We start from the raw sequence: 13,975 nt of genomic DNA, 5'->3' as shown, positions 1-13,975 counted from the left end.
CGAGCACGCGCCTAAAGCCCAGCGCAGAAATGAGCGACAAGAGGCCCAACGCATGGCGACCCGCGTTTATTTTATTAGGAAGGAAACAACCAAGCACCCCATGCTCCTGCCCGGCACTCCCGGTGGGAACATGCCAAACAGCCGGCGATCGCACCCAGCCCACCTGTCGTGGAGGTCCCTTCCTTCTCAGGCCACAGAAATAAACCCGTGTACTTCTTATTGTTAGCACAACATCACCAGAAAACGATAACGACAGCCAAGCAGGACAGACAGTTAAGTAGTACTTCCACACTCCCAAACTCAGGGAGCCCTATAACCTTAAGGAGGGAGCATTTGCTACACAAAAGCACTATCCACAGCCAGGGATGATGTAGCCACAAGAATAAATAAGGAGAAAGGAGACCCTAGAATTCATGTCCCTTACGCCTCACAGCGACGAACCCTGGGAAGCTGGTTGGTCTAGCATCTACGCAGAATATGTACACCTTGTTGGGAGAGATGGGGGCAGCCCAAGAAAGCTCCTCAGCGGGCTGAAGAGGGAGCAAGATGGGCTGAGGGGAGCTTGCAGTTCATGCTGCAGTAGGAAGAGGGAAGCTCTTCAGTCCAGTGCGCTGCAGGGTGGGAAAGCAACAACACGGACACCGTCCCACCCTCAACCCCCCCACTGGCACAGGGTCACACAATCTGGGTCAAAGAAATAGTGGGGCCCTTGTGGTCATCAAAGCGATCCATGGTCTTGAGGCTGAGGATCATGTGCAGGCCATAGGTGAAGATGAAGAGCATGAACAGGGAGGTGAGCAGCCCCATCCAGATGCCGGGGGAGAAGAAGCTGGCACAGTCGCTGGCGTAGGAGAACTGCTCCCCCATTACGTTGAAAGCCTGGATCTGGCAGACACACAGACACGGGTCAGAAAGGACCGTTGGGAGGCCCAGCAAGAACTGGGACAGGGGCAGCGCAGGGACAGGACTCTCAACTACATGCCCAAGCCCAAGCCTCTCTTCGTCTCTCAACCACTAGCCTGGGCTCCCCCACCTGAAGCTGGGCCACGCCCGCTCCATACCTGGAAGTCCTGAAGCATCATCTGCCAGGGAGAGGGCTGCGTGCGGGCCACGAGGAGACTACCCTTCTTGCTCAGGCTGCTGACATACTCGCAGTGGAAGGAGTAGATGCTGGGCCCTGTGACCTGGGAAGCATTGAAGTAGGCGACGGAGCCATTGCTGTGGACTTCGAGGCGCTCCATGGTAAACCAGTGCCGGGCAGACACTGGGTAGAGGCGGTTGGCCAGAATGAACCTGGGGAAGGTGGCAGGGATGTCAGGTGAGCTGGGGAGGCTGGGGCCACACCAGCCCACCCATACCTCAACCACCCCCAGGACTCACTTGAATGTCACTGTGGTACCAAAGAGTCGTTCATAGGTCAGTGAGAGCCTGTGGGGCCAGAGAAAGAGGCGCACTGTGAGGCTCTGGGAGGGCCTTTGGCATCTTAGAGGAACAAGTTCCTCAGCTCTGCTCCTACCTAAGCTGCCTTGGGTCCTTGCAGCCACCTGAAGAAGCAGTGTCCCCACTTGACAGATAGGAAAACTGAGGATCCAGTCACATTGCAAGGTCGGAACAGAGCTGGAAGCCAGGACCCAGGTCCCCCTTGCCACCAGCATGGGGGTCCTTCCTCTGGTTCCCCTGAGCTCACTGCCCCTCCTTTTACTCCCTCTTAGGGTCACTAAGGTGCCTGGGCTGGGCTTTGGGGGCGAGAGCAAACAGAAGGGCATGGTTGCCCCATAAATGGCTCAGATAGCTGGCCTGGTATTTGCCCACACAAAGTCCCAGAGGTTTTGCTCAAGGGGGAGGTGACAGGTTCCCAGGTAACCTTGAGGTGTTAACAACCAAGGTCCCAACCAAAGACTCGCAAGCATGGGGAGGCAGAAGTCTGAGCAACTCCCCCTCCAACAGCACCCCATGCCATGACACCTCCTACATCCTCACGCTGCCCAGACCCCAACCAGACCATGGCCATCCCCACCCCAAAACACAGACCTGACCCTGGCTCCCTGCCCCACCTGCGACCCACAGTGATGGGAAGGTCACCTGTGGTGGCACAGTCCTCCCCAGCCTAGTGCCCTTGCCTGGCAAAGGAGTCATTCCAGAAGGAGCCAGTCAGGTTGAGTTCCTGCACCCCAAAGGTGAGGGGAGTCAGGTCCTCCCACTGGTCCTTGTACGCCACAGAGAAGTTTTGGGCCCAGAACAGGATCCGGGGAGCGGTGTCATTGTAACTCACAGGAGGATGGATCACAGGTGATACTGGCTGTTTTTGTAGCAGCTGGCGACCTAGCCCTCCGGCCACCACGGCTACATCACGGGCCACCTGCAGAAACACCCAACCAGCCTTCTTTCAGCAGCCCTGGGAGAGTGTCACACTTGAACCCAATTGTCGTGCCCTCCTTCCCCTCCCAACAGGACACCCTGTCCACTATCTCAAAGTCCCATCAGCCAGAGGAGACCTTTCCTCCAGGAAGCCTTCCCTGATGCCCCCTAAACCCTGATGACATTCCTAGTCCCTCAAACTTAGGGTCATTTAGACTTAGTGTCCAAGTCTGCCACCCACAAGCCTCACAGGACGAGATGGAAAGCTGCCCCTGGAATGGGGAGGCAGGACTTGAGTGCTCATCCTAGCCCTGCCCCCAGAGTCAGCCACTCCAAATAGTCACACCACAGGGGTTCTGTGCCTCATGCTTCCCCTATGCTGGGCCTCCTGGGCAGCCTACCTGTGGCATACACTCCCCACCTCCAAGCAGACTCACCACACTGCCTCTCCCTGCACGCCCCAGAGCCCCTGCTGGAAGGGCACATACCCTGGAAGGGCGGACCGCTGTGAGGGCCGCTGTGTATGGGACATCTTCGGACTTGAGTGTGCTCAGGACCTGCCCGATGACCTCATCTGAGGGTCAACAAGGAGAGCAGAGACTCAGGTCACCAGGCACCCTGCATAAAGAAACACTCCCCACTGTCTGCTTTAGAAACCTTCTAGACCATCTGAAAGTGGTGTGTTTACTTTCCACTGAGGATCCTTAGGAGCAGCTACTTCTCATCCCACCCCCATTCCCAGCCTCCCCCAGAGACAACTGTGGCTTCAGTCATCGATTCCCTAATGCCAAGCCCTACCTATGTGACATAAGAAAATACATATCAATACAGAAAACTCCACATCCACCCATGAAAGGTTCACGACTGCCTTTCCATGGGGAGTGACTGTCCTTTATTGCAAATAGATGAGTCCCCAGAATTGTTTTTCCAAATGTCTGCAGTCTTATTAAACCCATAACTCTAGGATTCACGCTGCCTGCACAGAAACTGGCTCCACAGCCTCCAGCACAGAGAGCCGCCCCCCTCTGCCAAGTGGGGTCTGGCTGGACAGGGTCTTCTGTCAGGTGGTCCCTGGCTGGTCCTGGGAGCCAGCATTTCCCTGCTCCACTGCCAGCTGCCCCGAGAAGCAGGCGGGCCACCCTGGGAGTGAGGAGGCCGAGGAACTGCAGGCCAGCTCTCTCTGTGGCCCCCACCCAAGGGCTAGATGAGGACGTGCATCCTCCCTGATTCTACTCACCGTTGCCTGTGAGGACTTCCCTGGGTGCCATCAGACCAGAGCTATGGAAGACAAACAGAGCGCCAGAGTCCTCAGGCGGCCTGGACCTGCACTGCCCACTACCCTTCCCCGACCCCAGCTTCTCCTCCCCACTAGCCCCACGCACCAAGCCTGCACACTCTTACCTCAGTGCCCCCTCCTGGAAGCCCATCCCACCCCGAGGCTTCTCAGTCACACTCAAGTCCTGGCCACCTGCTCTGTGACAAGGGCCTGGCTAGGTGAGAAGGCTCCCCACCCGCAGGGCTCACATCTGCCTCATCTCTGGAGGCCCAGCTCAGTGCTAGGCACCAACTCCTGAGTCACAGAAGAGGCCCTCCCCTCCTCTTCTGGCCACACAGGGCACCTTCTGGAAGGGCTGTGAGGGGGTGGGGAGTACTGGCATCTTTAGCCAAACGGTGCCACCACATGCCATAGCCCAGGGCCTTGCTGCTCTCTGGGCCCCGAGGCTGGTGGCTGGGCCATGCGGGCAGTACCTGGCTGTGTAGGGCAGGCGAATGAGCAGCAGAGCAGGGAGGCTGGCATTGAGCTTCAGCTCCCGCAGGGTGGCCAGGTCCACATGCAAGGGGCTGGCCCCGAGCTTCTCCTGCAGGTAAGTGGTCAGAGTGCTGACTGCATACCAGTCGACGGCAGGAAGCACCAGTGAGGAGGGGGCCAGGTCCAGGGCATTCTGGGGACAGGGGAGAGGCAAAAGGTGAGTTAGCCAGGGGCCAGTGGGCCTGGCCCAGCCCCCCACACCTCTCTGGCAGCTCTCCTCTGGCAAGCCATACCCATAAAGGCTCACCAAGAAAATGGCCCACACCCCAGCCCCTGACATTCAGGCCCCAGGCCTTTCTACCCCAAAGCCAGCGTCTCTGCTCCCTAAGAGTATGAGGTGGCTTTTGTTGTTGTTGTTGTTTTTGGGGGGGATGGTTGACCCAGAAGAGACTCAGACCCAAGTAACCCTGATATGAGGTCAGAGTACAGTTCTTATGCTGGGAGAAGGAGCACAGAATGTCCCCCATGGCCCCTGGCTGGGAGAGGACTCTCACCTCTAGGTTAGAAAAGGCGCTGTCCTGCTTGTTTCCAAACACACCGCCATATGCTGTGAAATCCTCAATGCTCAGCTATTAGGGAAATAGGGGAGACATCTGAGGAGGTTTGGCAAGTGATGGGGGCCAAGGCAGGGGACAGCCACCTTCCCCGTGCATTCTCAGGGCCAGCAAAGTCTCACTGAGAGTCAGGTTCAGTATGGTGGAGCACAACTGTGTGTTGGTGGGGGTGGGGTGGGAGACTCACCTCTTCCCTCCAGCACTCTCAGGGCAGGGTGAGAAGACATGGAAGGCAGTCATGGGGTGGGGAGATCTGCAGGCAGCTGACTTGTGGTAACTCAGGAGTAGGAGTCAGCCGCCTTGCCCACCCTACAGACAAGAGGAACTGGGGAGGGAACAGGGAAGCTGCGGGGAGGGGGTGGGGCAGCCAAGAGCATTTGTGGCAGGCCTCCCAGCCAGAGAAAAGGAGAGTCGGCTATGTCCAGTCTGGACGGGACCCTCCCCCCACCTGCTTTTGGCGGAAGGGGAGAGGTGAGGATCTCAGAACATGCTGGAGGAAGCATCGAGCATTGAAGTCTTTTGAGCTCTTAGGACCACAGTGGCCCCGACCCCATCCCTTTTTCTCCACAACCTACAGATGTCCTTTGTCCTTTTGCTCCTACCCTCCACTCCCATCCCCAGCTTCCTCTGGCCCTTCCCAGTTAGGCCCTGAGGAGATTTTAATCAGCTTCCCTAACCTGTTTGGTATACACACTCGCCCAGCCTCCCCTCCCTTGTGGGCAGGACCTTGCTGCTGTTTGGCCACCGGGGTTCTCAGTCGGAAAGCCCAGGAACTGCTGGTGGGTCCTGTGGGCTTTCTTTAATTGAGAAATCACACCACTCCCTGCTCCACGTTACCCAAGGCTTTCTCACACATTTCGAACTGCAACTGACCTTCCCCCTCATGGCCTACAAGGTCCTACTTCATCGCCTAGCCACCTGCAAACCATCTCCTACATCTCCTACCCCTTTCTCTCACTCACTGTGCTCCAGCCACACCAGCTCTTCCTTGAGCTGGCCAAGAGCACACCTCGCCCAGGACCCTCGCATTTGCTGTTCCAGGAATGTCCTTCCCCAAACGGCTCCCTCCCTCCATTAAGATCGCTGCTCATATATCACCTCCTCAATGAGGCCTGGCCTGACCACCCTTATCTAAAATAGCATCCCAGTCACTCTGTCCCCTTAGCCTGCTTCCTTCCCTAAAGGCCGTAACACTGACATCATATCCTATACCGACTTAGTATTTACTGGCCACCCTCACAAGAATGTCAGCTTCCTGAGGGTGGGGGCTTGGGTTCTTCTGCTCACTGCCATATCCCCAACACTTCACAATACCTGGCACATAGTAGGCTTTCCATATTGGGCAAATGAATGAATGGGTGAATGCCCTAAGACTGGGGGATCCTGGCTAGATGTTTTATGTGGATTATAAGAATTCCCCCTCACAGGCCGGGCGCGGTGGCTCACGCCTGTAATCCCAGCAGTTTGGGAGGCTGAGGTGGGTGGATCACGAGGTCAGGAGTTCAAGACCAGCCTGGCCAACATGGTGAAACCCCATCTCTACTAAAAATACAAAAAAATACAAAAATTAGCTGGGTGTAGTGGCGGGCGCCCTGTAATCCTAGCTACTCGGGAGGCTGAGGCAGAGAACTGCTTGAACCCGGGAGGCGGAGGGTGCAGTGAGCTGAGCTGACATTGCACCACTGCATTCCAGCCTGGGCAACAGAGCGAGACTCCGTCTCAAAAAAAAAAAAAAAAAAGATTTCCCACTCACAGCCCTCTGATATAGGTGGTGTCTTCATTTTACAGATGTAGAAACTGTCATTCACAAAGATTATTTCATGCCTCCAATGGCTGGTTACATGGTAGAACTAGGACTCAGTTCCTATTTGACTATATTATTTACCACCTCCTGAAAAGACTTCAGGCCACCACCATCTGCCCACACAGCAACCAAGGGAGACTACAAGGGCAATGAGCCATACAGGCCACCAACAAGGGAGGGCCTAGCAGAGACTTGCTATCTTAGAGTCATCTCATGGTCTCCACGCCTGCTTTTGGGGCAAAGATCCTGGATGGGAAGGAAAACAGCATGCGGGTTATGAGCTCCAATTGGGAGGGAGGATTGGCAGACTCAGGCTGGAACCAAAGTGGTATCTATCAACTGTAGTGAAACATTGTATCTCGACAAACCTTACTTTCCTTGGCAGTGAAACCAAGATAATGACATCAGTGTAGCAAGTGCCTACAAAGCACTAAACAGGTGAGCATTTTCCAATTATCATTATTATGATCATCACAGCTAGAATTACAACTCTGCCACCCATTAGCTGTATGAGCTTGGACAAGTCACTTAACCTCCAGCCTCAGTCTTCTCATCTATAAACAAACAGGGACGATAATCCCCACCCACCATATTGGACTAAGTCAGATATCCAAAGTGCTTGGTACTCAGTAGGTACCTGGCCTCTGGTCCGTCGCTTCCTCCAATCAAGTTGGTGCCATTTCCGAGGCTGTCGCCATGCCCACTGAAGCGTTTACTACAGGCCTTCCCATGAGACGACCCACACCTCCCTACAGTTGGGACAAGGTCACTGAAGCTTCCCTTGGGGAATGGGCGTCAGTGTCATGGGGGGAGGGGGCCTGGCTGCCTCCCGATGACCGGGGGAGAGTGGGCTGGGGCGGGCGCACCTTGTCCTGCAGGAACAGCAGCACATTCCTGGGACCCAGCTCCAGGGCGGGATCTAAGTAGGTAGAGAGCTGCAAGTCGCTGGTGATGTGGCCTTCATGAGTGTCGGCCGCAGGAGCCCACAAGTCCCTGGCAGGGCACAGAAGAGGTGCTGTCAGACGGGGGCGCATGTGGACTGGAGCTCTGTCGCCGGCAGATTCGCTGCGAGCCCCCGAGCAAGGAACAGTCCACCTCCGGGCCTCACCACCCCTCGCCTAGGACAGCGCCGGAGTCGGGCGAGGGCGCCTCAGCCGCCACAGCGCATCCCACCCCGGCCCGCTCACCGGTCACTCGACCACAGCACCAGCGGGACCTGCTGCTCCGCCGCTGCCGCCGCCGCCGCCGCCGCCAACGACAAAAACACCGGCAGCCACGGCATGCGCCAGAGCGCCTGGGCGCACCGCGGCCCCATCCGCACTCGAGCCGTCGCCATGGCCGCCATCATAGCCTCAGCCTCCACTGCCTCAGCGGCCTCGACAGCCGCAGATCAGGTGACCGTTGCCCCCGCCCGAGCCCCGCCTCGCACCTCCATTGGCCCCAGCGCGGGCCGACCGGCAGGGCCGCAGGTAATTGGACCAAGTGCATGCCACTCGCGGCCACTCCTTCTCACTGGTTGGCTGTACGTGTCTCCAGGCGCTCACGCTCCGAGTGGGAAAGGGGATGGGGCCCAGCTAGACCGACTAGGACGAGACAAGAGGGACAGGGAGGCTTCGCGGAACCCTACGCCCACCCGACGCGTTCGCCCGTCCGTTTTTATTTTTATTTTTATTTTGGTTTTTTTGTTGTTGTTCTCTTCTTTTGTCTTTTTTTTTTCTTTAGAGACGGGGTCTAGCTATGTTGGCCAGGCTGGTCTCGAGTCCCCGGGCTCAAGCGATCCTCCCGCCTCAGCCTCCGGAAAAGTGGGACTACAGGCGCGCATCGCCGCACCCGGCCAATCCCTGTTTTAATCCTTTTCCTTAAAATTGCAAAAGTGGTGTCTTTTTCCTGCAGATGGACCCTCCCTGATACAGGTGAGAGGAGACTGTAATCCCTTAGAACGAGGAGTGAAGCGGGCTCAGGATAGCATCTAGGGGAACACCCAGCACTTACATTGGGCAGGAGGAGAAGGGTCCAGAAAAGAGATCGGACAAGGAGCAATCAAAGAGGAAGGAGAAAACCCAGAGCGAAGCGTGGCATCAAAGACACCCTAACGGGCCGGGCGCTGTGGCTCACGCCTGTAATCCCAGCACTTTGGGAGCCCGAGGCGGGCGAATCATGAGGTCAAGAGATCGAGACCATCCTGCACAACATGGTGAAACCCCATCTCTACTGAAAATACAAAAATTAGCTGGGCATGGTGGTGCACACCTGTAGTCCCAGTTACACGGGAGGCTGAGGCAGGAGAATCACTTGAACCCGCGAGGCGGAGGTTGCAGTGGGCCGAGATCGCGCCACTGCACTCCATCCTGGGCGACAGAGTGAGAGTCCATCTCAAAAAAAAAAAAAAAAAAAGATTGTAGTCATGATTGTCACATGTGATTCAGACTAGGACTAGGATAGTGGCAGTTGAGCTGGAGAGAGGAAGTGGGTCTGACAATACAGTCAAAGAAGATTGTAGCTTTTGGGTCTCTCTGAGTTGGGGACTGGGAGACGAGGTCACTTGGGGGCTCACTGAGTTTCGGGTGCTTAGGGAAACCCCCAAGTGGCCATTTCCAGGCCTTAACTAGCTGAGGAGAGAGGTTTTCACTGGAGCTTCACTGTATCCCAGGAGAATCCAGCAAACTTAAAAAGGAAAGCATGTCTATTATGTTTCTGTTACTTTTGTTACATAGTTTCAAGGCAAATACTTCCTCTGGAATGCGGAAGGCAATCTTGCCTCCGCCAGGACTCTGTTGCTGAGCTGCTTCCATGCTTAGGGAAGAAACCCACCTGTGGCTGCTTTTATTCTTCCCTGCATTGCTAGGGGTCCCTGGAGTGATGGCCCTGGAGGCTTCCTGAAGCACCTGCTATGGGCCAGGCACCTGGACTCTGCCCCGGAAGTTGACAGTTTGGTCTAGAGGACATGCAGGACAGCAGGTCATGATACAGGGTCATGAATATTCCAAAGGTTGAGACATGGGACTGGGAGGGATGTAAGGAGAGGGGCACCGATGAAGCTGCTCCCACCAGGAGGTGATATCTAAACTGAACCAATCACCAAATGTTGACAGCACCAATGAGCACCTTCTGTCTGGGGACTTCATCTTTAGGGTAAAAGCATTTTGTTCATTGAAATCCTGGCTGGGCGTGGTGGCTCACGCCTGTAATCCCAACACTGGGAGGCTGAGGCGGGCAGATAACCTGAGGTCAAGAGTTTGAGACCAGCCTAGCAAACATGGCAAAACCCCGTCTCTACTAAAAATACAAAAATTAGCTGGGCGTGGTGGCGGGCACCTGTAGTCCCAGCTACTCAGGAGGCTGAGACAGGACAATTGCTTGAACCTGGGAGGCGGAGGTTGCAGTGAGCCGAGATCGTGCCATTGCACTCCAGCCTGAGCAACAAGAGCGAAACTCCATCTCAAAAAAAAGAAAAAAAAAAAGGGCCGGGCACTTTGGCTCATGCCTGTAATCCCAGCACTTTGGGAGGCCGAGGCGGGCGGATCACGAGGTCAGGAGATCAAGACCATCCTGGCTAACACGGTGAAACCCCATCTCTACTAAAAATATGAAAAATTAGCCAGGCGTGGTGGCGGGCGCCTGTAGTCCCAGCTACTCGGGAGGCTGAGGCAGGAGAATGGCGTGAACCCGGGAGATGGGGCTTGCAGTGAGCCGAGATCGTGCCACTGCACTCCAGCCTGGGCGACAGAGCAAGACTCTGTCTCAAAAAAAAAAAAAAAAAGCACTTCTATGGTGAAACGTAACCCAAAAAAGAAAAGAAGTAGGCCAGGCGCATTGGCTCACGCCTGTAATCCCAGCACTTTGGGAGGCCAAGGCGGGCGGATCACCTGAGGGCAGGAGTTCGAGACCAGCCTGGCCAACATGGTGAAACCCCGTCTCTATTAAAAATACAAGATAATTAGCCGGGCATGGTGGCATGCGCCTGTAATCCCAGCTACTCGGGAGGCTGAGGCAGGAGAATCGCTTGAACCCAGGAGGCAGAGGTTGCAGTGACCAGAGATCATGCCATTGTACTCCATCCAGCCTGGGTGACAGAGCGAAACTCTGTCTCAAAAAAAAAAAAAAAAAAAAAAACCCACAAAATAAAGATGTACAGTGTAATGCTTATCAAAGCAGACAGTTCCATGGCATCACCCAGGTCAAGAATTTGAATATCATTGCCCTGAAAGCCCCTCTCATACCCTTACTATCACTTCCCAATGTGACCATGAACTTGATTCTTTTGCTAATCACTTTGGTCTTTATAGTTTGACCAGTTAAGCATGCATTCCTAAAAATGATGGGATGTGTTGTTTTGGCTGTTTTGAGGCTTTAAATAAAGGAAATTATTCAGTATAATATTTTTCCCTCCTCCACTCTTTTTTTTTTTTTTTTTTTTGGAGACAGAGTTTGGCTCTTGTTGCCCAGGCTGGAGTGCAATAGCGCCATCTCGGGTCACTGCAACCTTCGGATTCAAGCAATTCTCCTGCCTCAGCCTCCCGAGTAGCTGGGATTACAGGCATGTGCCACCACGCCCGGCTAATTTTTTGTATTTAGTAGAGACGGGATTTCACCATGTTGGTCAGGCTGGTCTTGAACTCCTAACCTCAGGTGACCCACCCACCTTGGCCTCCCAAAGTGCTGAGATTACAGGTGTGAGTCACCGCACTCAGCCTTCTCCTCCACTCTGAAGGGAAGTATTATTTTGTGTCTAGATTCTTTGCTCAACATTGGCAGATTAATTCAAGTGGCTGCATGTAACAATGTTGCTGCATAGTATTCCCCTGGATGAATACGTCACCATTGATTGTGTCCTTCAACTGTTGACATTTGGTTGGTTTCCCATTTGGGCTGTTATGGCTAATGCTGCTGTGAACAATTATGTATACGTCTTTCTTTTTCTTCTTTTTTTTTTTTTTTTTGAGACGGAGTCTCGCTCTGTCACCTAGGCTGGAGTGCAGTGGCGTGATCTCAGCTCACTGCAAGCTCCGCCTTCCGGGTTCACGCCAGTCTCCTGCCTCAGCCCCCTGAGTAGCTGGGACTACAGGTGCCCACCCCCATGCCCAGCTAATTTTTTGTATTTTTAGTAGAGACGGGGTTTCACTGTGTTAGCCAGGATGGTCTCTATCTCCTGACCTCAAGATCTGCCCGCCTCGGCCTGAGTGCTTGGATTATGGGCGTGAGCCACTGCGCCCAGCCGATGTATGTGTCTTTTGTTAAACATAGATGTTCATTTCAATAGGTATATAACTAGGTGGGGAATTGCTAGGTCATAGAGTATATGCACTGGGTTGAGTAGTGTCCCCATAAAAGTCATTGCAGACAGAATCAAGTTAAGGTGAGGTTATACTGCATAAGGGTGACCCCTAGTTCAATCAATGCATGGTGTTTTTAAAGGAGGAGAAAAAGAGACAGACACAGGGAGGAGAGCACTGCACGCAGCTGAAGGCAGAGATTGGAATGACACCTCTGCAAGCCAAGGAACACGGAGCATTGCTGGGAACCACCGGAAGAAGCCAGAAGACAGGCCTGGAGCTGGCTTTCCCTCACAGCCCCAGAAGGAACCCACCCTGGTGCCACCTTGATTTCGGACTTCTGGCCTTCAGAACTGGGAGAGAATAAATTTCTGTTGCTTTAAACTTCCCAGTCTCTGGCACTTTGTTACTGCAGCCACAGGAAACCCATACCATGCACACTCTGCCTTTTGTGTTTCCTCTTCTGTGAAATGCCTTTTTTTTTTTTTTTTTTGAGACGGAATTTCGCTCTTGTTGTCCAGGCTGGAGTGCAATGGCACAATCTTGGCTCACTGAAGCCTCTGCTTCCCGGGTTTCAGTGATTCTCCCGCCTCAGCCTCCTGAGTAGCTGGGATTACAGGCACCCACCAACATGCCCAGCTAATTTTTTTTTTTTTTTTTGTAGAGATGGGGGTTTCACCATGTTGTCCAGGCTGGTCTCAAACTCCTGGCCTCAGGTGATCCGCTCACCTCGGCCTCCCAAAGTGCTGGGATTACAGGTGTGAGCCACCACGCCCGGCCTTAACCACTTTTAACTGTACAGTTCAGTGGCATTAAGTACGTTCACACTGTTGTACAGTCATCACCACCATCCATCTTCAGAACTCTTTTCATCTTCCCAAACTAAAGCTCTGTCCCCATTATACAATTTCTCATTCCCCCATCCTCCCAGGCCCTGGAAACCAACCTTCTACTTTTTGACTCTGGATCTGAAGCCGGTAAGTACATCATATAAGTGGAATCATATAATATGCAGCCTTTTGTTTCCGGCTTATTGCAGTTAACATAATGTTTCTTGAAAATCCTTTGAGAGTATCCATTTGATAGCATGTATCAAAATATTCCTTTTTCTTTCTTTTATTTTTAATTTTTTTTTTTTTTTGAGACGGAGTCTCGCTCTGTTGCCCAGGCTGGAGTGCAGTGGCACGATCTCGGCTCACTGTAAGCTCCACCTCCTGGGTTTACGCCATTATCCTGCCTCAGCCTCCAGCTGGGACTACAGGCACCTGCCACCACGCCTGGCTAATTTTTTTTTTTTTTTTTTTTGTATTTTTAGTAGAGATGGGGTTTCACCATGTTAGCCAGGATGGTCTCGATCTCCTGACCTTGTGATCTGCCTGCCTCGGCCTCCCAAAGTGCTGGATTACAGGCATGAGCCACTGTGTCTGGTGTGTTTTTTTGTTTGTTTATTTGTTTGTTTGTTTTTTGAGATGAAGTCTCCCTCTATCGCCCAGGCTGGAGTCCAGTGGCACGATCTCAGCTCATTGCAACCTCTGCCTCTTGGGTTCAAGTGATTCTCCTGCCTCAGCCTCCTGAGTAGCTGGGATTACAGGCGTGCGCCATCACGCCAGCTAATTTTTTGGGGGTTTTTTGTTTGTTTTTGAGACGGAGTCTCACTCTGTCGACCAGGCTGGAGTGCAGTGGTGTGATCTTGGCTCACTGCAAGCTCCGCCTCCCGGGTTCACGCCATTCTCCTGCCTCAGCCTCCAGAGTAGCTGGGACTACAGGCACCCGCCACCACGCCTGGCTAATTTTTTTGTATTTTTAGTAGAGACGGGGTTTCACCATGTTAGCCAGGATGGTCTCGATCTCCTGACCTCGTGATCTGCCTGCCTCGGCCTCCCAAAGTGCTTGGATTACAGGTGTGAGCCACCAGGCCCAGCCTTTTTTTTTTCTTTTTTTGAGACGGAGTTTCGCTGCTGTTTCCCAGGCTGGAGTGCAATGGCTCGATCTCGGCTCACCGCAACCTCCGCCTCCCAGGTTCAAGCGATTCTTCTGCCTCAGCCTTCCCAAGTAGCTGGGATTACAGGCATGCGCTACCATGCCCTGCTAATTTTGTATTTTCAGTAGAGACGGGGTTTCTCCATGTTGGTCAGGCTGGTCTCAAACTCCTGACCTCAGGTGATCTGCCTGCCTC

At 53.8% G+C, this 13,975-nt stretch overlaps 1 protein-coding gene and 1 long non-coding RNA gene across 2 annotated transcripts, besides 2 other annotated features; one reads left to right on the top strand and one right to left on the bottom strand.

The window, feature by feature from the left end:
- On the bottom strand, positions 51–7,890 carry ATP6AP1 (ATPase H+ transporting accessory protein 1). Its single transcript, NM_001183.6, has 10 exons — positions 7,714–7,890; positions 7,393–7,519; positions 4,663–4,737; positions 4,108–4,301; positions 3,596–3,636; positions 2,847–2,932; positions 2,121–2,359; positions 1,381–1,428; positions 1,062–1,293; positions 51–885 (listed from the first exon to the last, which is right to left on the bottom strand). The coding sequence occupies exons 1-10, from the start codon at positions 7,872–7,874 to the stop codon at positions 676–678; spliced, it is 1,413 nt and encodes a 470-aa protein (NP_001174.2). The 5' UTR covers positions 7,875–7,890; the 3' UTR covers positions 51–675.
- Positions 7,673–8,174: an enhancer, noted in NCBI's record as "H3K27ac hESC enhancer chrX:153656739-153657240 (GRCh37/hg19 assembly coordinates)". NCBI's record gives its function as "activates a minimal SCP1, AML or CMV promoter by ChIP-STARR-seq in naive H9 embryonic stem cells {active_cell/tissue: H9 hESC(naive)}" and the evidence as "EXISTENCE:reporter gene assay evidence [ECO:0000049][PMID:30033119]".
- Positions 7,988–8,097: a silencer, noted in NCBI's record as "silent region_21102". NCBI's record gives its function as "represses an Ori minimal core promoter by ATAC-STARR-seq in GM12878 lymphoblastoid cells {active_cell/tissue: GM12878}" and the evidence as "EXISTENCE:reporter gene assay evidence [ECO:0000049][PMID:35858748]".
- Positions 8,088–12,187, top strand: ATP6AP1-DT (ATP6AP1 divergent transcript). Its single transcript, NR_103768.1, has 2 exons — positions 8,088–8,439; positions 11,942–12,187. It is a non-coding gene; the product is annotated as an ATP6AP1 divergent transcript (long non-coding RNA).

The sequence above is a fragment of the Homo sapiens genome, chromosome X (assembly GCF_000001405.40).
Source record: "Homo sapiens chromosome X, GRCh38.p14 Primary Assembly".
Taxonomy (NCBI): domain Eukaryota; kingdom Metazoa; phylum Chordata; class Mammalia; order Primates; family Hominidae; genus Homo; species Homo sapiens.
This window is presented reverse-complemented; position numbering and strand designations above follow the sequence as displayed.